We start from the raw sequence: 24823 nt of genomic DNA, 5'->3' as shown, positions 1-24823 counted from the left end.
CGCCCTCTGCGGAGCCACTTAAAGACAAGCTGCTTCTGTGGGGAAATCTCGTCCTCACCAGGCCCCAGACTCGGGCTCTTGAAATAAGAAGCTGCTTAATTGGCCGCTCTTCCCAAACAGAGGTTCTTGCGCTTCCCATGCAGAGCCTGCTTAAGAATAGCCTGAAGGGCTTTGAAAATGGCTGCGTCTGGGTTAAATGACGGGCAGGGTGTGGGAGAGGAGAGCAGCCGGCGACTGATGGAAACTGGCGTGCACGTCCCGGACAGGTGCTCCTGTTCTTGGTGTTTCTCGATGCCTTCCTGGCTCGTGCCGGATGAATGAGGTGTTGGGCAGCTGGTGATGCCCTGGTCTTTCCCGGGAGCTTGCTGTCTCTTTAGCACCCAGTGAAGGGTGAGAAAGAAGCCAAGAGTCTTGGGGGCTGCCGAGAGCCACCTGCATCCCACGGAAGGTGCAGTGACCGATGCGGAGGGGCCAAGTAGTTGCAAGGTGGAGTCAGCCGGGGGTGGCTGTGACCGGGCCGTGAGTCTCCTGCATGTGGAAGATGTGATGTCGGAGGTGCGTCTCCTGCGTGTACAAGGAGCTGTGGTGTCCTCCTGTCTTTCCTCTCCCTTCCGAGCTCATCACGTGGGGTGGTGGTTGGTGCTAAGTCATTCCTAGAGGGATAATGGTGTCCAGGAATTTGGGACAAATCTAGATGGACTCAGGTTAGAGCCATCTCTGTAACCTGGTCAGAGAACGCGTCGAGGCTGGGACCCTCTGCTGTACTGTGGAATATTTAGGCCCCGTGAGAAGCGGCTGTGGTGGGTGGGGAGGTGGGTCCTGTGGACATGAGGGAGGCTCTGCCCTGAGAGGGCTGGAGGGGCAAGGGTGGGGGACGGGGAATGGGAGACTCTGGGGTTCATCTGGGAGGTGACAAGTGTGGTGCCTGGTGTCCAGACACACCTTCCTCATTGAAACCTGGACTCCGGCCACTCCAGAAAAGAGGCAGGACATGGTGACAGGTGGAGCCACTGACTGGGCAGCTCCAGCCCAAGTGGCTTCTGCCATGTGCCTTGCCACAGGTTGCCTCTTAAGCATGGAAGGTCAGATGCTGTTGTCTACGCACACGTGAGCCTGGGGGACAGCACCTCCCCGGCTGCCCACTCACAACGGAGCTCCTTCCCACGCACACGTGAGCCTGGGGGACAGCACCTCCCCGGCTGCCCACTCACAACGGAGCTCCTTCCCACGCACACGTGAGCATGGGGGACAGCACCTCCCCGGCTGCCCACTCACAACGGAGCTCCTTCCCACGCGCACCTGAGCCTGGAGGACAGCACCTCCCTGGCTCCCCACTCACAACGGAGCTCCTTCCCACACGCACCTGAGCCTGGAGGACAGCACCTCCATGGCCACCCTTTCAGGACAGAGCTGCTCTTCCCACGCTGGAGGAGCCACAGGGCCTGGTCGCTGTGGCTTCAGCCTCCCAGCTCCTCCTGTCCTCTGCTGGGCACTTGTAATGTCCAGGCACTCCCTGCTTGGATCAGGGGATCTGGGTTTCATCTTCCCAGCTCCTCCTGTCCTCTGCTGGGCACCTGTGATGTCCAGGCACTCCCTGCTTGGATTGGGGGATCTGGGTTTCATCTTCCCAGCTCCTCCTGTCCTCCGCTGGGCACCTGTGATGTCCAGGCACTCCCTGCTTGGATTGGGGGATCTGGGTTTCATCTTCCCAGCTCCTCCCGTCCTCCCCTGGGCACCTGTGATGTCCAGGCACTCCCTGCTTGGATCGGGGGGTCTGGGTTTTGTGCTATACTTGGTGCTCCCTTTCACTCAGGCCCCTTCTTGACTCTGCAGAGCTACCCCTCGCCATCTCTTTCACGCGGGCCTCCTGCAGTCTCTGTGCTCACCCTGTGACTCTGCTTCCTGTGTTGTCAAATGGGGGTCATCCCAGGACCCGCACCACTGGGTCGTGTGCAGGTTTCTGGGGTGGCAGAGTGCGGATGAGTGGGCACGCGTAAACATTCACTCTCATTCCCATCACGGTCCTGACGCCTCCACAGCATTTGATTAGGCAGGGTTGGACCTTCTTGTTCCATCCACCCTGTCTCAGCACCCTCTGTCGCGCCTTCACCTCTCCCTCCCTCGATGCTACACGACAGATTATTTCCTGAAATTGTCTCCCACGTTCCTTCCTCCTCTGTCTAATCTGCTGTAAAACTCAAATGCTGGGTACTTTTCTCTTGGTTACTGTATTTTTCACTTAGAAAAAAATTTTTATTTAGTAATTTATCAAATCTGTTATTTTGCCTTCTACTTTGATTATGTGTTTGATATCTTCTTTTATCTTTTCAATCATTTTAAACCTACTTATTTTATGGTCTCGTCCAGATCCTCTGGCTTATTTTATGGTCTCGTCCAGATCCTCTGGCTTATTTTATGGTCTCGTTCAGACCCTCTGGCTTATTTTATTGACTCGTTCAGACCCTCTGGCTTATTTTATGGTCTCGTCCAGATCCTCTGGCTTATTTTATGGTCTCGTCCAGATCCTCTGGCTTATTTTATGGTCTCGTCCAGACCCTCTGGCTTATTTTATGGTTTCGTCCAGATCCTCTGGCTTATTTTATGGTCTCGTCCAGATCCTCTGGCTTATTTTATGGTCTTGTTCAGACCCTCTGGCTTATTTTATGGTCTCGTTCAGACCCTCTGGCCGTTTCCTAGTCTTCGCTTTCTACAGCTCCTGCTCATCACATCTGCTGACCCCCTCCTGTGGGGGAGGGGTCCTCTTTTGTGGTTGATGAAGTCTTTTTTTAGAATTGTGAGCTTACCCTCAGCAGGGATTGGTGATACTGAAGTGTGAATTTCTATGTGAGAGTTTCTGGATAAGAAGTTCTGCCCTCAGTGTCCCAGCCGATCCACTTTCCTGTCAATTGCCCACCTGGGAGTTTCTGCTTCATTCAATAAAGTGTGGACCGTGCTCTGGCACATGCACAGATCTGGGGTTCAGCCCCCTCCCCACTTCCCCAGCTGGTAGGTGGTCTGTTCCTGGGCTTCAATCTTGAGGGAGGCAGGTCCTCAAGGTCCTGGGCTTCATGTGGAGTCCCCATCTCCATCCACCCCAAGGCCACATGGGCTGTCCTCGTGTGACTATAGGAACTCACACCCCAGCTCTCAGCTTCCACAGGAACTCACACCCCAGCTCTCAGCTTCCACAGGAACTCACACCCCAGCTCTCAGCTTCCACAGGAACTCACACCCCAGCTCTCAGCTTCCACAGGAACTCACACCCCAGCTCTCAGCTTCCACAGGAACTCACACCCCAGCTCTCAGCGTCCACAGGAACTCACACCCCAGCTCTCAGCGTCCACAGGAACTCACACCCCAGCTCTCAGCTTCCACAGGAACTCACACCCCAGCTCTCAGCTTCCACAGGAACTCACACCCCAGCTCTCAGCTTCCACAGGAACTCACACCCCAGCTCTCAGCTTCCACACACTTGGATCCACAGAAAGATGCCAAACGTCCAGGAGCCACTTCAGCAGCAGCTCCCAGTCACGCCCGGTTTTGATTGCTCCTCTCAGTTTTGGAGTCTGGAGATCCACTTTCTTCCTGTGCTCTCGGCTTTGTGCCCCTCAGAGTTGATGCCATGCGTCATGCGGGATTTCGATGTGCGTGTGCGAGGGTCCCTGCTCAGCCTCAGTTTAGTGAGCTGTTCGTTCATTCATTCCTAGGTATTTATATGCGTCAGGCAGGTTTTAAGAACTGAAACTACAGCAGTGACTAAAACAGACAAACCCTTCCATCACGAGCTCCCATTCCAGGTGAAGCTGGAGGTGTATCGAGGAATAAGGCCCATTGTTTCCTCTGAAGGCAGAACCCAGCCGTCCCCTGCATTGCTTTCTGCTCTCACTGGGCGCGACGGCCATCTCTGTTCCCTTCAAGTCGACCAGCTCCTCCTCCGTGAGTTCTACAGATTGGACTCTCCAGGGCCTGGCTCCCTCCTCCTTTCTGCCGGTGCTGTCTCCTGTGGGGAACTCACCTGGGCCCTGGCTTTTTATGTTATCTGTTCGATGATGATCCCAAGCCTACGTCTCCAGCCCTGACCCATTCACCGAGCAACAGGTGTGTATGGCCACAGGTGTCCTCCTTTTCTCTCCTGGGAGATCTGTAGAGGAGCCTCACACTTAAAGTGGGCCACGCAGGGCTCTTGATCTTCCTGCCGCAGCCTGTTTCTCCCGTCAGGTTTTCTTATCTCTTAATGGAAATGGCATCACTGCTCCTTGTGAAGCTCTGTCTAGGAAGTAGATTGATTCAATGCATGGAAATCTGAATTGCTGCTCAGATTATCTGTGAAGTGGACTATTTAACTCTGGAAAGAATTGGCCTCTGCCCACTCCTGATGCCCACCCATCTCATATGTGGGAAGGAAGGTTCTCCCTAGACTGCGGGGGACCGTGGGGGCTGAGGGCAGAGGCAGGAGCTCACCTGCACAGCACCACACCTCTGCTTCCATCCACATCCAACCTGTGTCCTCTCTGGCCCCTGAGCGAGCAGAGGATGGACCTTGCCATTCCCAGGGGCAGAGGCTCCGTCATCCCTGGGACAGAAAATTACCAAACGCTAGAGTGTTTATTTCACCCACTGGTTACGATCTGGCCACAAGGAGCTCATTCACCCTGACCTGCCTGTCTTCCTGGCCTTCTCCAGACATTTCTTTGTTCTCGTTCCACCAAATGCTGGAGACCAGCTCCTGGAGCATTATCCTTCTCCACGTGGCCATTTTACATTTCAAAAGATGGTTCTTCTCGAGCTCTTGACCCCACGGACATCGTGCCCAGAGGGCCCTCAAGCCCAGCATCTGTGTCTCCTGTTGCCCCAAGTGAGTGCAGAAAGCAATGCAGGTGACGGCTGGGTTCTGCCTTCAGAGGAAACAATGGGCCTTATTCCTGGATGCATCTCCAGCTTCACCTGGAATGGGAGCTCTGTGATGGAAGGGTTTGTCTGTTTTATTCACTGCTGTAGTTTCGGGAGGTTTATATATTTGGAGTAGATTTGCAGTGGTGAAAATGGGAGAAAGGGGTACAAGTTGATAAATTATTTAACAGCTAATGATTTTTTTTTCTAATTTTAATTGCCTTATTCAGTATTAAGCCTGAATTTGACGATTCTGATTTTTAATGTATTTAAAATTCTTCTAATCCCTGACTCTGGAATATAAAGCAGAGTTTGATTACAGAAATCTAATAGCATTTACTAAATCTCTCCCCTGCGCTTGCGTTTAATGCAAGTGATGACAGATAGTGGAATTAAAACCTTTTAAGCCAAATGGAAATATCTCAAAACAAAATTTAAAGGAAATGAACAGATTACAGTGCAGATACACACCCCTCATAGATGGGTGGCATTTTGATGTATTTCAAAATCTAATTTCTGATATCTTGAAAAGTATTTGCATTTTATTCAAATTAATAAAGCCATGTTTTTTTCCAAAGGAAAGTGATAATCACCAAAAAGCAAAACTCAAAAGTTTGGAAGAAAAATAATTTGGATAAAGGCAGATCCATGGCTCCAACCTTCTCAGTTGTGTCCAGAGTTAGGGGTGCGTTCTAGCTTCTTAGCATCATGATAGAGCAGAGAGGTCCCCTGCCCAGCGTTCTAGCTTCTAAGCATCGTGATAGACACAGAGGTCCCCTGCCCAGCGTTCTAGCTTCTAAGCGTCGTGATAGACACAGAGGTCCCCTGCCCAGCGTTCTAGCTTCTAAGCGTCGTGATAGACACAGAGGTGCCCTGCCCAGCATGTCAGTGAGAAGTGGCCGACCCTGAGTCTCAGCAGAGCCCCTGCAGGCTCAGGAGCGTGAACAAGAGGAATCTGAGAAGAAGCTGAGGGGAAGAGCTGCTCAGACTGGGGGCTGTCTGGGTGGCAAAGAGCCCCCCATCTCTGCTGAGGGAGCCTTCTCTCTGTCCAGTGTGGGATGAGGTCAGAGGTCTTCAGATGGTTATTCAAGGAGCCCTGGGGGCTCCAAGGCAGTTGGGTGTGAATCCCTGCTCAGCTCACGCTACCCTCACACTCCGGCTCAGCAAGGTCCAGGCTTCTGTTGCCTGCTGCTCACTGGGCTTCTGGGTGAGACTTTGTTCCAAGAAAGGATTCTGTAGCCAAGAATATGTGGATCCCAAAAGTCCCTTAAAAGTCTATGAACCTATGGTCATGCATCCACCCCATGAAAAATGTGAATTTGCCATGATATGTGTTACCTGGGATGGGGGGTGGGGGTGTGAGAATCCACCCCATGAATAATGTGAATTTGCCGTGTGATGTGTGTGTTACCTGGGATGGGGGGTGGGGGGCTGTGGGAATCCGCCCCATGAATAATGTGAATTTGCTGTGTGATGTTTGTTACCTGGGGTGGGGGGCGGGGGGTGTGGGGATGCTCAGCACTTGTCACAGGGAGCAAGCAGTGGGCAGAACTGAGATGGGTGACGGATGTGTTCGAAACCAGCTTCATTTCCCCCTGACTTCCACCCTGTCATTTCCTGTCTGTGCAAAGAGGTTTGCTACTGTACACAGCTCCTACCCGGTTGCTTGGGGATTACCAAGAGGAGCCTGGACATTGAATGCAGACTTTGGCCAAATCAATAGCAGGAACATATCAGCTGTGATGGCTCGACATGGCCATGCACCTTCTCCCTGGGGTCTTGTCAAGATGCAGATTTCCTGCCCGCCTCACCAGATGCCTGGTTCTGCACACCCAGGTGTGACCCAGGAGAGGACGGGACAGAGGGGGGCCTTTGCCCACAGGTGAAGAGAGCCGGAGTAAGGAGGTGGGGAGGTGGGGAGGTGGGGAGGAGCTGCCCCTGCTTGTCAGGGTGACAGCTGTTGTTGCTCTGCGGTGCCCAGCAGCAGGACCGTGCCTTTGTCAGGCACATTAAATGTTTCAGGTGGATCCAGGTGGATGGATGAGGCTCTTGGCTGGAAGAAATGCTATTTGGGAAATGCCAACAGGTGAGGTGGAGAGCTGGCAAGCAGACCACTTGCAAAGGGCTCTCCAGCCAAAATGATTTGTGTGAGACCGGAGGCCCTGTGGTGCTGGGGGCAGGTGAAATGTCAGAGCTACAGTGGGGTGAGAAATCCGTAGATGTTCCAATCACATCCTAAGTCTAAAGTCCTATTATTTTGTTGTTGTTGTTTGAGACACAGTCTCGCTCTGTCGCCCAGGCTGGAGTGCAGTGGCGCAATCTCAGCTCACTGCAAGCTCTGCCTCCCAGGTTCACGCCATTCTCCTGCCTCAGCCTCCCGAGTAGCTGGGACTACAGGCCTCTGCCACCATGTTCAGCTAATTTTTCTGTATTTTTAGTAGAGACGGGGTTTCACCGTGTTAGCCAGGATGGTTTTGATGTCCTGACCTCATGATCCGCCTGCCTTGGCCTCCCAAAGTGCTGGGATTACAAGCCTGAGCCACCGTGCCCAGCCTGAAGTCTTATTTTTAAGATTAGTACTGAAGGTTGCTTGAGAACAACAGTTTTGGTTTTATAAATAAAGACCAAATGTGATAAAACTCATATACGTACACTCCATGGTAGGCAGGGTGAATGAGTCTAACTCTTTAGAAGGCAGGACAGCAGTGGTCATCTGCAAACCAACAAACAAAAACTCTTCCCCTTTGGCTCAGTAATCAAACTCCGAGAAATGTATCCTAAGAAGACACTCCATCGAGCAAGGAAATCAGAAAAACAAAACCTTCACCAAAAAAAAAAAACTGACTTAAAATATAAAACTATAGCAAGGTAACTCATCATTAACAATCAAATAAATCAAATTCTGTGATTTCATTTAAAATTTTGAGAACTCTAAACTTAAAGGCAGCTGTGTAAACATGTGTGTGCACAGAGATGTTAGAAGCCCATGTACGTAACAGGTGAATAAGAGAGCAGCTCTTATGGGGTTGATGGTGGCAGCAGAAGAATGACGAGGCTCGTAATTGGGAAAGGAGAGCTTTATTCCTTATAAAGAGCTGCATCCTGCAGGACAGCCAACCTGACCAGCTGGGAAGCGTAGCCTCCGGCCAGAAGCCAGAAACAGGCACTTCTAGTGAGAGGCAAAGGGAACAGGAATTTATGCTGAGTGGGTGGCTAAGTATACATATTCAGCAGGTTATGGGAGGAGCCGTGAATATTTGTGAAGGGGAGACACGGGCATGCATGGTCAGCTAATGTTTGCAAAATGCATCCCATGTTCACTGGGGCATGGAGACTTAACATGTAAACAGATTACAGTTAGGCATTCTGCATCAAAAGGTGAAGCTGAGGACATGAAGGCCCTCCCTGTGCAGCCTCCACAGACTAGCCAGAGGCACTCCGTGAATGGGGTCTCTTATGAGGAGGGAATGCTGATTGGTTGTTGGGTCGAAACCATAAAAGGAAGAGCAGTTTCAGGCACTTGGTGGATATCAGGAATGGAGTCTTTTAAAAGGGCTGGTTTCTGTTCAGCCCTCAGAGAAGGAAGCCTGGTGGTGATTAGTTGAGAGGGGGGCGGTAACCAGGCGGGTCTGAACCCAGGGAAGGAAGCCTGGTGATGATTAATGATGGGGGCGGGTAACCAGGCGGGTCTGACCTTCATCCTGTCACGGTCCCAACTCAGTTTTAAGGTTTCTCTGGGGTCCTCTTGGTCAAGAGTAGGTCATTCCGTCAGTTGGGGCTTTGGACTTTATTTTTCTCAGTGGAATTGCAAGTGAGTTTTTTCCTTTGTCCAAAAGTTTTTATATTATTTCTGACTTCTTATTTTGAAACCATTATAGATTCACAGGGAATTGCAAAGTTATAACAAAGAAGTCTCATGTATCCCTTACCCAGTGAGGTTTTCCCCTGGTGGTTACGTCTGGGTAATTATAAAAGCCAATTATGGCAAAACCAGGAGATTGATATTGGAACAATGTGTGTGTCTAGTTCTATCTCATTTTACCTTTAGTACCATTTTTTACAACCTAAATAAAGAGAAAATATGTAACCAAAGGAAAGGCGTTTACACACACATTAGCAAATGTGGGGACCTGAGGGGAGCAGCCACCATCTGGGACATGGCGGCCCCCGTCACCCATTGACCGTGGTTGCTGTGGGAAACGCTCACAGTAACGAAAGTCATCAGACATCCGTGAAGATTCTGCGTGGCATGGTGCTGCGCGTAGGCCAGTACATGACAAAGGTTTAAAATCACTGCTGGCCTTTAGATGAGGGCCTGTGTTTGGGGATTCAAGAGAAGGGGCATTGGATGTTGGGGGGTGGGGGGGCGCAGGATGGGCTGGTGGGGCAGAGAGCACGGCCACACGTTCCTGACGGGGCCCCTGGAGCAGGAGCTTGGAGGAGCAGCTCCCAGGAGGAAGAGAAGCTCACGTGGTCAGAGGTAGGTTTGTCAGAATGGAGCGAAAGCGGTGGGTTCAGCAGTATCTGAAGGAAGAGATCACAGCTCCTGAGGCTCTGGACAGTGGATCTAAAAAGCCTGAGGTGTCAGAGTTCACGGGGTTCCTTGGGTAAGGTGACTGAGCTGAGCTTGCGAAGGTAACAGTGCGTTTGATGGTAATGCTGGGTCACACCAAGGATAGAAGCCTGGGGGGACCACTGAACCCTACATCTCATGCTACGGCTTGTCCCTAGTGCCGGCTCAGCCTAAAGAACCAGGCTGCAGTGACTGGGGTGTAACACTCCAGCAATCTCAGACCGTCCGTGAGCCCAAGAAAAACCAGGGTCTGTCTCTCCAGAAACATTCACTCACACCCCCCAAGACAGCGTGCGTTTCAGGGAGCCTGTGGCATCTCACCCCAGAAGCCCAAGAGCACATGGGAAGCTCTGCCAAGGGTGGGAGGCAGGGGGCGGTGGTGCCTGTGTGGGCTCTTGCCCACTCAGTGCATGTGGTGGGCTCTGGCAGTACTGGGGGGAGTGGGTATGGTGGAGAGCAGGTACTGGGGGGAGCAAATACTGGGTGGAGCAGGTATTGGGGAAGCGGGTACTGGGTGAAGCGGGTACTGGGGGAGTGGGTACTTGGGGAAGCGAGTACTGGGGGAGCAGGTACTGGGGGAGCAGGCACTGGGGGAGTGGGTATGGTGGGGAGTGGGTACTGGGGGGAGTAGGTAATGGAGCAGTTACTGGGGGAGCGGGTACTGGGGGAAGTGGGTACTGGGGGAGTGGGTACTGGGGAGTGGGTATGGGGGTTGGGTACTGGGGGAAGCATGTACTGGGAGAGTGGGTAATGGAGTGGGCACTGGGGGACCATGTACTGGGAGCAGGTACTGGGGGAGCGGGTACTGGGGGAAGCGGGTACTGGGGGGAGTGGGTACTGACGAGTGGGTACTGGCAGCAGCAGGTAATGGGGGGAGCGGGTACTGGAGGAAGTGGGTACTGGGGGAGTGGGTACTGGGGGAAGTGGGTACTGGGGGGAGTGGGCATCTTTTGTCATTTCCTGCACTGTCACTCTATTTTATTCTAATATGCATTAGTTGACAGATGGTTTTCTCCTAAATGCAAAAGTGCCTCAGTCCTAAGAAAAGCCTGTTTACTGGTAAATATTCCTAATTTGCGTCTGAAAGGGAAATCTGCATGAAATTGCATTAAAATATTTGCATCAGCCCAGCCCAGGCAGCTCTGCATTCAGCCCATCTGAGGACCCCAGATAAGCCTTTGGTTGGTGGGAGGTCAGAGGTCAGGAGCAGCCCCTTCTCTGGTTTGGCTCTGTGGTGAGGACCTCAAATGCCCCAGGACAGGCCTGTCATGGGTGGGCTCAGCTGATGAGGACTTCGATGGCCCCAGGACAGGCCCGCTGTGGGCTTGGCTGTGTGACAAGGACCTCGAAGGCCCCAGGACAGGCCCGTCATGGGTGGGCTCAGCTGACGAGGACCTCGATGGCCCCAGGACTGGCCCACTGTGGGTTTGGATCTGTGACAAGGACCTCGATGGCCCAGACAGCCCCACCGTGGTGGGCTTGGCTCTGTGACGAAGACCTCGATGGCCCCAGGATAGACCCGCTGTGGGTTTGTCTCTGTGACAAGGACTTCAGTGGCCCTGGGGCAGCCCCACTGTGGTGGGCTCAGCTGCACCCCATCAGCCTGCTTGCTGCTTACTGCTCTTCTCACTCTTTTTCTATTTCTCAAAAGTGAAGAAAAACACAAAAATGTATTTTCGATATAATTAACTGCACTTGACGTATTGACAAATAGGAGTTCATCATGAAACAACATCTTTTCCTCCTGGAATTGTGAATGGCACACAGGTTTCCACGTTGCGCTGGCTCACGGATGCCTTCTCAATACTTTCCTGTGACTTAAAGGCAGGAGAGGTGCTGTGTGATGTGGCTGTTGCTATAGCAACACATTCAATTTTTATTCAATATCAGAGTAAATAGTCACATAAGATGAAATAAGTCATGTCTGCCTGTGGCAACGGCAGTCCCTGCTTCTCGACATGCTTCCCTCCCTCCCTGTGCCCTTTTCTAACATTTTCAGCTGCATTTTTATAAAAATATGCATAATATAGATTTCAGTCGCAGGGACACGGCTTATTGTCTGAGGTGGGGACTTGGTGATGTCTCCCGCTGAAGAAACGGAGGCCCGCCTTGTGCCTGGGTCTTAGTGGAAGGCAAGATTGTCCCTGCAGGTTCCCTAGGGAGCCTGGCTCACGTGGCACCAAAGTTCATTTTTATTTAAACAACTGAACTCTAGGGATGTTCATAAGGTCCCTCAGTGTGTAATAATCCAGAAACCCCTTTCAGTGGGTCAACCCATCAGACTTGGAGTTGCTTAAAGAGATGAAGAAAATTAACAGGATCCTGCACCCTGAAAGCTCCTGCTGCAGCTTTTTCAGAACGGCAGCAGCACAGTGGCAGCAACAGTTGTGATGCTCGCCCCCTCCCGGGGTGTGTTCCACACTTCACATGCATGTCATCTCCCTTGTCCCCAGGAGGCAACATTTCACAGAGGGGAGACTGAGGCAGGAGAAGTGACATGGCAGAACCGGCAGCCGGTGCCAGCACCAGGCAGCCTGACTCAGGCCAGGTCGCACTCCCTACACTGAGCCCCACATCAAATTAAGTTCCTTTTCTCATGGAGATTCCTGAAAGCTGAAATGTCCTTAGCTACATCTATAGCACATTCGCACCTGGTATACTCCATGAATATGAAACTTTTACCTGGCAGAGTTCATGAGATACAGGTGGGAAACCCTAATTTTCAACCCTGGAATTGTCCAGCTAGGGACATGGACGCTGATGAGCAGAGCCCAGAGGTGTGTCTGTCAGGGGAAACTCTCCTGTTGGGGCCAGCAGGAGGAACTTGGCTTGTTTCCAGCGTCAGGCGGGTGCATCTGCATCCCCTTCAGGGACCCTCCTTCTGAAAGCCCCATGCCCTTCTGCTCAGGTGCCTTTCTCTGCCCAGGTGGGCATCAGGTGCCCTGGAGAGGCTAGGCCTGGGTGGCTGCCAGGATGCATTGTGTCCAATGCCCCCAGCCCAGGCCCACCTGGGCACTGTGGAGTGGAGGAACGTGCTGCAGGTGTAAGGGCAGCCTTGCTCCCGAGACAGTGAACATGGAGCCAAGCCCACCCTGGTGGGGGCTGTCGTTCCAGCCTTGAGACCGCCCTGGCATCACATTTTCCATAATCACTTATCAGGGCAGCCACTGAGCATCCAGGCCAACTCAGGTACCCCTTTTGCTTGAGCCAGTGGCCTCAAGCTACTACTCTGTGTGGGGAAGAAAAAGTAGTGTCTCTGTTCTTCTGAGTTCCTACGAGGGGTGGACTCCTGTAACAAAAAACCGATTCACAAGAGATAAACAAGCCGAAGTGGATTCACATGTGCACCTCCTGCATCCATGAGCCATACCCAGAGAAACGGGTCAATCACAAAGAGGTGTGTAGACTCAGGCTTCAGCACCATCATCTGCTGAGACAGAGCAGGAGGAGCAATGAGGAGGTGATAGGGTTTGGCTGTGTCCCCACCCAAATCTCATCTTGAATTGTCACTCCCACAATTGCCACATGTCGTGAGAGGGAACTGGTGGGAGGTCATTGAATCATGGGGGCTGGTCTTTCCCATGCTGTTCTCGTGACAGTCAATGAGTCTCATGAGATCTGATGGTTTATAAAGGGCAGTTTCCCTGCACATGCTCTCTCTTGTCTGCCACCCTGTGAGATGTGCCTCTGACCTTGTGAGGCCTTGTGATTGTGAGGCCTCCCCAAAACCACGTGGAACTGTGAGTCCATTAAACCTCTTTCTTTCATAAATTGCCCAGTCTCCCGTATGTATTTATCAGCAGCATGAGAACAGATTAACACAGGAGGGGACCAGAGAAGCCGGTCAGCAAGGGCAAGGCCTGTCATGCACCCTCAGTCGAGCCCTCTGCATTGATGGGGTTTCCAGTGACGAGAGCCGTCCTCTTCCAGGTGCAGAGAGGAGCCACCCTTACAAATGGAGGACTCCTTTATAAACATAGATCTCTCTTATAGAAGAGAATCAACTTGTTTTCAGAGCTTCTCCTATATCTTCAGTTTCTCAAAATAATCCTTATGCCAAAAAGGCATACATTTATTAGGATGGTGTGTTCTGGTCTCTGACAGTCATTTTGGGGTGCTATGTTCTGGTCTCTGACAGTCATTTTTGGATGGTATGTTCTGGTCTCTGACAGTCATTTTGGGGTGGTATGTTCTGTTCTCTGACAGTCATTTTGGGGTGGCATGTTCTGGTCTCTGACAGGCATTTTGGGGTGGTATGTTCTGGTCTCTGACAGGCATTTTGGGGTGGTATGTTCTGGTTTTCGACAGTCATTTTGGGGTAGTGTGTTCTGATCTCCAACAGTCATTTTTGGGGTGATGTGTTCTGGTTTCTGACAGTCATTTTGGGGTGGCGTGTTCTGGTCTCCAACAGTCACTTTGGGGTGGTGTTTTCTGATCTCCAACAGTCATTTTGGGGTGGTGTGTTCTAGTTTCTGACAGTCGTTTTTGGGGTGATGTGTTCTGATCTCTGACAGTCATTTTTGGGGTGGTGTGTTCTAGTCTCTGACAGTCATTTTTTGGGTGGTGCGTTCCGATCTCTGACAGTCATTTTTGGGGTGGTGTGTTCCAATCTCCGACAGTCTTTTCTGGGGTGGTGTGTTCTGGTCTCTGACAGTCATTTTTGGGGTGTTGTGTTCTGGTTTCTGACAGTCATTTTGGGGTGGCATGTTCTGGTCTCCAACAGTCATTTTGGGGTGGTGTGTTCTGGTCTCCAACAGTCATTTTGGGGTGGTGTGTTCTGTTCTCTGACAGTCGGTTTTAGGGTGACGTGTTCTGATCTCCAACAGTCATTTTTGGGGTGGTGTGTTCTGGTCTCTGACAGTCATTTTTGGGGTGGTGCATTCCGATCTCCAACAGTCATTTTTGGGGTGGTGTGTTCTGATCTCCGACAATCATTTTTTGGGTGGTGTGTTCTCTTCTCCAACAGTCATTTTTGGGGTGTTGTGTTCTGGTTTCCAACAGTCATTTTGGGGTGGTGTGTTCTGATCTCCAACAATCATTTTGGGGTGGTGTGTTCTGTTCTCTGACAGTCATTTTCGGGTGGTGTGTTCTGGTCTCTGACAGTCATTTTTGGGGTGATGTGTTCTGATCTCCAACAGTCATTTTTGGGGTGATGTGTTTTGATCTCCGACAGTCATTTTTGGGGTGGTGTGTTCTGATCCCTGACAGTCATTTTGGGGTGGTGTCCTGACAGTCATTTTGGGGTGGTGTGTTCTGGTCTCCAACAACAGTCATTTTGAGGTGGTGTGTTTTGATCTCCAACAGTCATTTTTGTGGTGTCATGTTCTGTTCTCTGACAGTCATTTTTGGGGTGGCATGTTCTGTTCTCCAACAGTCGTTTTGGGGTGGTGTGTTCTGTTCTCCAACAGTCAATTTTGGGGTGGTATGTTCTGATCTCCAACAATCATTTTTGGGGTGGTGTGTTCTGATCTCCAACAGCCATTTTGGGGGTGGCATGTTTTTATCTCCGACAGTCATTTTGGGGGGTGGTGTGTTCTGGTCTCTGATAGTCATTTTTGGGGTGGTGTGTTCTGTTCTCCGACAGTCATTTTGGGGTGGTGTGTTCTGTTCTTCAACAGTTTTTTGGGGTGGTGTATTCTGTTCTCCGACAGTCATTTTTGGGGTGGTGTGTTCTTTTCTCTGACAGTCTTTTTGGGGTGGTGTGTTCTGGTCTCTGACAGTCATTTTGCGGTGGTGTGTTCTGGTCTTCGACAGTCATTTTTGGGGTGAGGTGTTCTGTTCTCCAACAGTCATTTTTGGGGTGGCATGTTCTGGTCTTTGACAGTCATTTTTAGGGTGGTATGTTCTGATCTCCGACAGTCATTTTGGGGGTGGTGTGTTCTGTTCTCCGACAGTCATTTTTGGGGTGATGTGTTCTGTTCTCTGACAGTCATTTCAGGGTGGTGTATTCTGGTCTCTGATAGTCAAGTTTGGGATGGCATGTTCTGTTCTCCAACAGTCATTTTTGGGGTGGTGTGTTCTGATCTCTGATAGTCATTTTTGGGGTGGTGTGTTCTGATCTCTGACAGTCATTTTTGGGGTGGCGTGTTCTGTTCTCCAACAGTCATTTTGGGGTGGTGTATCTGGTCTCTGATAGTCATTTTTGGAGTGGTGTTTTCTAGCCTTTGACAGTCATTTTTGGGGTGGCATGTTCTGTTCTTCGACAGTCATTTTTGGGGTGGCATGTGCTGATGTATGACAGTCATTTTTGGGGTGGTGTGTTCTGTTCTTCAACAGTAGTTTGTGGGGTGGCATGTGCTGATGTATGACAGTCATTTTTGGGGCAGCATGTTCTGTTCTTCGACAGTTGTTTTTGGGGTGGCATGTTCTGATGTATGACAGTCATTTTTGGGGTGATGTGTTCTCATCTCCTACATTAGAAACTGATGGATGGTGGAGGGCCCTAGACACTGGGCCCTAGTAGCTCTTTAGTAGTTTACAGGCACAAACTTTACCTTCACTTTCATTCCTGTGAAACAAAGGATCTATTAAAAGTCTAATTAGGGTTGTGTGTGTGCAAACCCTTTTACTGAAGTGCCAATCTATTTTTTTTTTTTTAATGAGATCATAAAGCAAAAAGAACATTCTTAAGAAGTAACTTTCTTCTGTTGACAAGCACTTGGACTTAACGTTCCACGAAAACAGGAAATCCTCTCCTTTCTCGTAGGCAGAGACGCATCCCTGCAGTCACAGGGGCTTGGCCTCAGATGTCTAGGGTGTACTGAGGGGGTGTTGCCATGTTGACCATGTGCGTCCTCTCTGGCTGCCACAACAGAATACTGCAGAGTGGGGGGCTTCAGTCACAAACCTTTATTGCTCACAATCCTGGTGGCTGAAGTCCAAGATCAAGGTGTGGGCAGGGCTGGTCTCTCCCAAGGCCTCTCTCCTGGGCTTCAGATGCCGTCTCTGCATCCTCAAGTCCTCACCCCTCTGTGTGCACCTGTGTCTGCATCTCCTTCCTACAAGGATGCCAGTCACATGGGATCAGGCTCACCCTGATGACCACATTTTACTGTAATGACTCCTGTAAACACCCCCATCTCCACATACCATCATGACCTCATTTTACCATAATGACTACTGTAAACACCCCCATCTCCACATACCCTCATGACCTCATTTTACCGTAATGATTCCTGTAAACACCTCCATCTCCACATACCCTCATGACTTCATTTTATCATAATGACTACTGTAAACACCCCCATCTCCACATATCCTCATGACCTCATTTTACCGTAATGACTCCTATAGACAACTCCATCTCCACATACAGTCACATTCGGAAGTTCTGGGATTAGAGCTTCCCATAGGCACTTTGGAGAGACTCAATTCAGCTCTAAACTCTGACCCTGTTAGTGTCTCATTTAACTCAGAGTGCCTTTTTATCATTTGTTCCAAAAGATAGCATTGGGTCAAGCTAGCTTCAGAGGAATACATCTATGCCATTTTCCTGCACCATATCAAACAATAAATTAAAAAGTGAAAAATTCTACCAAGGCAATCAGGGAGAGTGAATTAATGAATAAATACATGAATAAAATTTAGCGCGATTTTTAGAAGGATAATAGGATAGTTTTGTCCAAAAACCCTTCAGATCCACGGTTCAGTCTGAGCCATCCAGCCATAGCAATAAAGTAAAAATTACCACATGGTACAAATGTGTCACCGTCAACGATGCTCAGCGTGGAGATGGCCTGCCTGCCCTCAGAGCTGGAGAAGGACGTGGCTGCATCTGCCTATGGGCCGGGTCCCTTGGGTGATTTTGCAGGGAGGATGTACAGGGTCCTCCTTCTGCCAACGCCACATGATGACCAAGACTCACACCTCCCAGGAGCTGCCGGTGCCCCCTCTAGCACGGGGACCCTAAAAAATTCTTGATGTTGAAGCAATATAACTTGTGTTGCAATTTTACTTCTTTGGCAGTGTTGTCTTTTCCTTTGCGATGTATTTCCTGATAGAAGCCTTTTCATTTTGGTGTGCGGCGGGTAGAGTAATGAATTTATTTTAGAAATGTCAGTGGCATTTTATGATGCTACCTTCAGCAGCAACATCACAGGGCCTGATTGTGAAGCTGCTAATTTACAGATCGTCTCTAAGTGAACGCAAACAAATTCTGGTCCTCAGAGCCCTGCTAATATACAATGTTCAATTTTTAATTTCCAGTCCGTCTTAGATTACGGGGATGAAAAACAATATTTAATCCCTCGTTAACACATGAATAAGCGGAAGCTGTCATTTTCAACCAGACAATAACGGGATTATCTCAAGGACTGTCAGTTTATGTGAAAACATTATGTTGCCCAAATTTTCATAAAAATTAGCAGTGGATAATACTCAAGATCAGAGCAATGGAAAGAGAAAAATATGCATTCATGGTAATAAATATTCATATTTGTCTGCTCAGGAGATGAAAATCTAATCAAGGGGCTATTGAAGCTCTGGCTTTTTTTTTTTTTTTTTTTAACAAAGACGTTTCATCTAAATTGGGTTTGATATGGAAATTAGTCTCACTCAAAGTCCTCCAGGCCACGAGTAAGCCGGGCTCACGTGGGGTGAGGTGGCCACTCTATCAGATGTCGCTTCTGGCATGGGCCTCTTAGACAACAGCCACCAATGCTGGGGTTCACACTGTCTCTCTTGGTTCAGCATCCTCAGAGTTTAATGCAAGGGAGTGCTTGGAGCCCCCTCCCTTTTTAAAGGAAAAAAAAAATATGATTTCATGCCGGTTAACTCCCAGCTACTGCAGGGTTAAAATTGTCTGTGTTTTTGCTTTTGTTGACAATTACCATAAATCAGAAGACACTCTGCATGGAGCTTAATGAAATATGTATGATTTTAAAAAGAAAAGATGGGAGCTGCAGGACGTTGCTCTGTGTGTGTGTGCGTGCACGTGTGCGTGCACGAGTGTGTGTGTGTGCACATGCACGTGCATGCGTGTGTGTTTGGGTGTGCGTGTTGGGGGGTGTGTTCCTGCTGTTCTCATGGAGGCTGTGCTTTTCCTACACATGGGCAGGCTTGAAAACACAGAATCCAAGAGCTCCTCGGTGAGTAAGTGTGGGTGCACGGTATCACACTGACCCTTCCAGCCCCACGGAATCCGAGAGCTCCTCGGTGAGTAAGTGTGGGTGCACGGTATCACACTGACCCGTCCAGCCCCACGGAATCCGAGAGCTCCTCGGTGAGTAAGTGTGGGTGCACGGTATCACACTGACCCTTCCAGCCCCATGGAATCTGAGAGAGCTCCTCGGTGAGTAATTGTGGGTGCACGGTATCACACTGACCCTTCCAGCCCCATGGAATCTGAGAGAGCTCCTCAGTGAGTAAGCGTGGGTGCATGGTATCACACTGACCCGTCAAGCCCCACGGAATCCGAGAGCTCCTCGGTGAGTAAGTGTGGGTGCATGGTATCACACTGACCCTTCCAGCCCCACGGAATCCGAGAGCTCCTCGGTGAGTAAGTGTGGGTGCACGGTATCACACTGACCCTTCCAGCCCCACGGAATCCGAGAGCTCCTCGGTGAGTAAGTGTGGGTGCACGGTATCACACTGACCCGTCCAGCCCCATGGAATCCGAGAGCTCCTCAGTGAGTAAGTGTGGGTGCATGGTATCACACTGACCCTTCCAGCCCCATGGAATCTGAGAGAGCTCCTCAGTGAGTAAGCGTGGGTGCATGGTATCACACTGACCCTTCCAGCCCCATGGAATCTGAGAGAGCTCCTCAGTGAGTAAGTGTGGGTGCACGGTATCACACTGACCCGTCAAGCCCCACGGAATCCGAGAGCTCCTCGGTGAGTAAGCGTGGGTGCACGGTATCACACTGACCCTTCCAGCCCCACGGAATCCGAGAGCTCCTCGGTGAGTAAGCGTGGGTGCACGGTATCACACTGACCCTTCCAGCCCCACGGAATCCGAGAGCTTCTCGGTGAGTAAGTGTGGGTGCATGGTATCACACTGACCCTTCCAGCCCCACGGAATCCGAGAGCTCCTCGGTGAGTAAGTGTGGGTGCACGGTATCACACTGACCCTTCCAGCCCCTTTAAGGAGCCTCAGGGTCCGTGCTCTTGAGCACTGGCCGGCCCAGCACGGGGATCCCTGGTGCATGAGGTCTCCCGTGGACCACAGGCCACCAAGAGGGTATCTTTTGGGGAACTGAATCTTTGCTCTCTTACACTTATAAATTCCTAGACAGCAAAGCTGAGATGGGCTTGTCTGAGCCTCAGGAAGGAACACGGGCAGGCCCTTCAGAGTCAGAGAGCCGGAACACCGCCAAGTAGCCTTCGCTCCGCATCAAGAACGCTTCCTACTGACATACGCGGGATTTTCCTTGGGGCGCTGTTAATTATGTTACAGAGCTGAATGTTTATATTCACACACATTTTAAAATCTCACCCCTGACATATTTCCTGTTCCTCTTCTCCCCGGTCAAGCAGAGCTGATCGTGGGATGTTTTGATGATTTTGGCGAAGGGCTTGGGGAATGTGGTTTCTGAAGAAGACGTCTCTGAGCAGACTCCCTCCTCTCCTGTCCCTGCTGCTCCCAGCTGTGCAGTGCCTGTTCCTGAGACCTGGCTCTGAGGCCCACAGGGAGGGTTGGCTGTTCCCCAGCCCACTGTTAGGAACACCTTCTGCACCACCCACCAAGACCCGGGCTTTGATGCTGGGTCCAGAGACATCACCTTCCTCTTTGTGACGTGGGCGGGGTGCACGGAGGGGAGGAGAGAGGACCCCGAGGAAACCCTGGGTAGGGCACTCGGACCTGGGATCCCCGAGGAAACCCTGACCATGGCACTTGGACCCGGGGCCCCGAGGAAACCCTGGCGCTGCACTCAGATCTGGGGTCCCCAAGGAAACCCTGACCATGGCACTTGGACCCAAGGTCCCTGAGGAAACCCTGGCGCTGCACTCAGATCTCGGGTCCCCGAGAAAACTCTAGTGTGGCACTCGGACCCGGGGTCCCCGAGAAAACCCTGGTGCTGCACTCGGACCCGGGGTCCCCAAGGAAACCCTGGTGCTGCACTCAGATCTGGGGTCCCCGAGGAAACTCTAGTGTGGCACTCGGACCCGGGGTCCCCGAGAAAACCCTGGTGCTGCACTCGGACCCGGGGTCCCCGAGGAAACCCTGGTGCTGCACTCAGATCTGGGGTCCCTGAGGAAACCCTGACCATGGCACTCGGAGCCGGGGTCCCCGAGGAAACCCTGACCATGGCACTTGCACCCGGGGTCCCCGAGGAAACCCTGGTGCTGCACTCAGATATGGGGTCCCCGAGGAAACCCTGGTGCCACACTCAGGCCTGGGGTTCCTCCAGGGACTGCCACATCCTGCACCTTCCCCTGTGGGTAAAGGCTAGCGAGGCCGTCCAGGGCATCAAGGCCCATTTCAGAACGTCGTCCTCCTGGAGGGCCGGCGAGCTGCGTGTCCCTAGTGCCTCCTGCGGCTCCCAGAGGCTCCCCCGGCATGCCCCCGTGCTGGCACTGTCCCCAGGTGGCTGCTGGCACCCACACAGCAGCTGCCCCGACCTTCCCTCTTAGAAAGTTCTCCGCCCTGGGGTGCAGGGGCCATGTGAAGCCCCATAGAGCACCATTCCCGCTGCCCCCGACCCATCCTCACTCTTGGGGTGCAGTGCGGCCTCTCCCAGCCCCACGTGGGGGCGCTGGTCTTCCCAAGGCCACCCTGGTGGACGTGGAAGCTGCTGATTGCCGCCGTCTGCCTGCCTTGGCCGTCTGTGCATCTTCCTGGGAGAAACGTCTTCTAGGGCCGTTTACTCATGAGAGGACCTGCCAAGGAACTAGATTATTTGTGGTGGTGTCAGCATCCAACAGTACTTTTTTCTAAGGAAAGGGATAACTTGCCACAGGAAAAGAAAATGCTGTGGCTTTAGACACAGCCACCCATCCTGTCTCCAGGCTCTGGTGACAGACTCTGTCCTGGGGCCGCTGCTGGTTAATTCAGGCTTCTCCATGCTGGGAATTCGCTTCCAGAAGAGTGGCCCCCAGGATGCTTTGCCTTCAGGGTCAGCCCTGTCCGCCTTACCTCAGGCCCAGCAGAAATAGCAGGGGATGGGTCACAACAGGAGACCAACACAAAAACAGGGCTTGGATGAGCCCACTCGGGCACCCAGTCCATGGTCCAGGGCACTGAGGTCTCGTGGAGAGGAGGGAGGGTGAGCGTGGACTGCATTGTTTGCAAGGAGTCGTGAATTCTGACACTGTCCAAGGAGCTGCAGGTGCTGCCCCAGATGGAGACAGCCAGGAACACCTCTAGGCCACTGCAGTGGTGATGGCCAAGGCATACCTGCCCTGCTGACCCTCTGCAGCCCCGTGCCTGCCCTGGGGATGCCTGGCCTGGGGGCTCGGCCCCTCCTGACCCTCTGCAGCCCGGTGCCCACCCTGGGGATGCCTGGCCTTGGGGCTCGGCCCCTCCTGACCCTCTGCAGCCCCGTGCCTGCCCTGGGGACGCCTGGCCTGGGGGCTCGGCCCCTCCTGACCCTCTGCAGCCCGGTGCCCACCCTGGGGATGCCTGGCCTGGGGGCTCGGCCCCTCCTGACCCTCTGCAGCCCCGTGCCCCCCTGGGGATGCCTGACCTGGGGACTCAGCCCCTCCTGACCCCCGAGGCCCAAGGTGCTGCTGCTGCTGCAGCCACCAGGGGTCACACTTGCTCGCCTCCTGCACAGGCCATGGCCCCACAATCAGGGCTGCAAGAAGAGATGGAGAAAGAGACACCTTGGAAGTGGCTGGAACGATCTCCCTTTGGAGTCACCCTGTCTGCTGGAATTAAGACTTCTGGGACTGCACAGTGAAGTTCCCGGCAATGACTCATTTTCTGATATTGGTGCCTGAATTGCAGCTTCCGTGGCTGCCACTTCAGGAAGATAACGTGTGACCCGGAGCAAGGTTATCAGAAACTGCCGATAGAGGTTTGCCACCTCCCACCATGAATACGGACGCTGATAGGAGGAAGCCCTCACGCGCTCCCTCGGCTCTCACGGAACGCCTGGAAACTCCCCAGCTTTCTCTTGTTTGAAGAAGGAGCCCCCAGGAGACTTCCAGGACAGCACGGTCTGGACCGTTTCCAAGCCCTTTAGGAAAACTTTGCAGCAAAATTCAGCATTTCGAAAATAGTGAAGTCAAGGTGACCCCGACACAGCCTGGGCTCCTCCTGGGACATACTTCCTGTACGGCTGTCAGACCACAAGTCTACCCAAGGGCATCTGTTTGCCTGTGAGTGAGCGTGTGTGTGTGTGTGTCTGTGTGTGCGCGTGTGTGTGTCTGCGTGTGTCTGTGTGTCTGTGTGCATGCACGTTTGCGTCTGCCTGTGTGTGCCTGTGTCTCTGTGTATGTGCACAAGTGTGTCTCCGTGCACAAGTGTTTCTCTGTGTATGTGCATGAGTGTGTGTGTATGTGCACGAGTGTGTCTCCGTGTGTGTATGTGCACGAGTGTGTCTCCGTGTGTATATGTGCATGAGTGTGTCTCTGTGTGTGTCCATGAGTGTGTCTCTGTGTGTATATGTGTATGAGTGTGTTCGTGTGTGTGTGCATGAGTGTGTGTCTGTGTATGTGCATGAGTGTGTCTCTGTGTGTGTGTGCATGAGTGTGTGTCTGCTTGGGTTACTTTGCTACCTGCAAGCAAACCCCTGCCTTGTGCTGCTGGGTGGCACGGCCTTCTCTGCCCCCCTCCGCTTCTCCCCGGACCCCGGGAGCTGTCTGTGGAGCGAGTAGGAAATCCCCCTACTCACGAGAGGCCGTGCAGGTGACCCCGAAGCTTCACTGAAATAAAAGCTCGAGTTAAGGGGGACATGAACTTCCTTGTGAACATGGTTGGCTGGCAGGAAGGCACTGTGGCTGGGGCCATGTGGACAGAAGCAGAGGCAGGATCGGGGCAGGGCAGGAGAGAGGGGACAGGAGGGGGCAGAAAGCAGGAGCTGGGTCAGGTCCACTTCACCTGCGTGTGTCACGTTGAAAATGGGCTGAGAGGTGGGCGAGGCCAAGTGGAGCACTGCAGTCCAGGCTTAGGGGCTGTGATCTGATTTGCAGGCCATGGGGAGCCATGGAGTGTTGGGGTGAAGGGAGCAGCCTGCCCAGTTGTGGAGGGGGAAACAGAGGGAGGCCAGAGGCAGACTGAGGGCCGCTTCAGCACCTTCCGCAGGACAAGGCTGGAGCTAGGCAGAGCAGCAGAGAGGCCAGAGAATCGTTGCAGAAGGCCTGGTCTGAAGATGTGTGATGTGACGTGCCACCACTGAGCTGTGCCAGGCCTGGGCCACCTCACTCCCCCGAGGTCCCGAGAGCTCTTCCCGAGGCTGCTCAGGGTCCTGGGACTTTGCCGGAGTTGTGGCAGACCTAGAGCCGTCAAAGTCAGTGGGACAGGAAACAACTTTCCCCGGACGGCCCTCCTGCCGTGCCCTGAAGCCCCTCTTGTGCCCAGCTGGTCGTCCATCCCTCCTCCTCCGCTTTCCACCTCCTCTTCTCTCCCAGGTGCCCCCTGCTGACCTGTGCCCCCAGTGTGATGCCGAGTGCTGCGCTCTCCTCAGTACCTGAAAGCAGGGCCCTCTGCCCATCCCAGAGACCAGCGCAGGAAATTCTGCTTGAGGACAGTACGTTCTCCTCCCGGCCCCCACGACGAGACAGACCTTGAGGACAGTACGTTCTCCTCCCGGCCCCCACGACGAGACAGACCTTGAGGACAGTACGTTCTCCTCCCGGCCCCCACGACGAGACAGACCTTGAGGACAGTACGTTCTCCTCCCGGCCCCCACGACGAGACAGACCTTGAGGACAGTACGTTCTCCTCCCGGCCCCCACGGCGAGACGGACCTTGAGGACGGTACGTTCTCCTCCCGGCCCCCACGGCGAGACGGACCTTGCAGACGCTCCCAGCACATGTCCTTGGCACACGTCGGAGCAAAGCCTCGGGGCGCGGCCCTCCGGGGGTTTCTCCAGGGAAGCGAGCAAACTGGGAAGCGTATCCCATCCAGAGCCTCAGACGAGGTCAGGCCAGGCGGCTGCTTTCTTTCCTGGTGCACATTCATTTATTCAACAGATACTTGCTCAGCACTCGCTGGTGGCGGAAACATTGGTGGATAAAGGAGAGACAGTCGGAGCCTCCCCCTCCCACAAGCAGCGAGGAAGCAGGACTTCAGGGCAGGCAAGAGGCCCGGTCAGAGGGAATGAGGCAGAGGTCTCAGTGCAAAATGGAAGCGAGAGCCTAGGAGACAGGGCTCGGGTGAGGGACATACACGGCCAGGGGCAGTTCCCCTGTTCCGTGGCCAGTTCCCACTTTCCATGGCCAGGAAGCTTTGTGGCTTCCTCTGTCAAGTTCTAGTG

At 52.5% G+C, this 24823-nt stretch overlaps 1 protein-coding gene across 10 annotated transcripts in view, besides 3 other annotated features; it reads left to right on the top strand.

Annotated features, from left to right (window-relative positions):
• The window catches only part of PTPRN2 (protein tyrosine phosphatase receptor type N2), a 1048768-nt gene that overhangs the window by 690020 nt on the left and 333925 nt on the right, over positions 1 to 24823 (top strand). The gene's annotated exons all lie outside the window — the stretch shown is intronic.
• Positions 372 to 872: an enhancer, noted in NCBI's record as "H3K4me1 hESC enhancer chr7:157689624-157690124 (GRCh37/hg19 assembly coordinates)". NCBI's record gives its function as "activates a minimal SCP1, AML or CMV promoter by ChIP-STARR-seq in naive H9 embryonic stem cells {active_cell/tissue: H9 hESC(naive)}" and the evidence as "EXISTENCE:reporter gene assay evidence [ECO:0000049][PMID:30033119]".
• Positions 10318 to 10835: an enhancer, noted in NCBI's record as "H3K27ac-H3K4me1 hESC enhancer chr7:157679661-157680178 (GRCh37/hg19 assembly coordinates)". NCBI's record gives its function as "activates a minimal SCP1, AML or CMV promoter by ChIP-STARR-seq in naive H9 embryonic stem cells {active_cell/tissue: H9 hESC(naive)}" and the evidence as "EXISTENCE:reporter gene assay evidence [ECO:0000049][PMID:30033119]".
• Positions 23096 to 23931: an enhancer, noted in NCBI's record as "H3K4me1 hESC enhancer chr7:157666565-157667400 (GRCh37/hg19 assembly coordinates)". NCBI's record gives its function as "activates a minimal SCP1, AML or CMV promoter by ChIP-STARR-seq in primed H9 embryonic stem cells {active_cell/tissue: H9 hESC(primed)}" and the evidence as "EXISTENCE:reporter gene assay evidence [ECO:0000049][PMID:30033119]".

Source organism: Homo sapiens, chromosome 7, assembly GCF_000001405.40.
Source record: "Homo sapiens chromosome 7, GRCh38.p14 Primary Assembly".
Classification (NCBI taxonomy): domain Eukaryota; kingdom Metazoa; phylum Chordata; class Mammalia; order Primates; family Hominidae; genus Homo; species Homo sapiens.
Note: the sequence above shows the minus strand (reverse complement) of the source record. Positions and strands in the feature narration are given on the sequence as shown.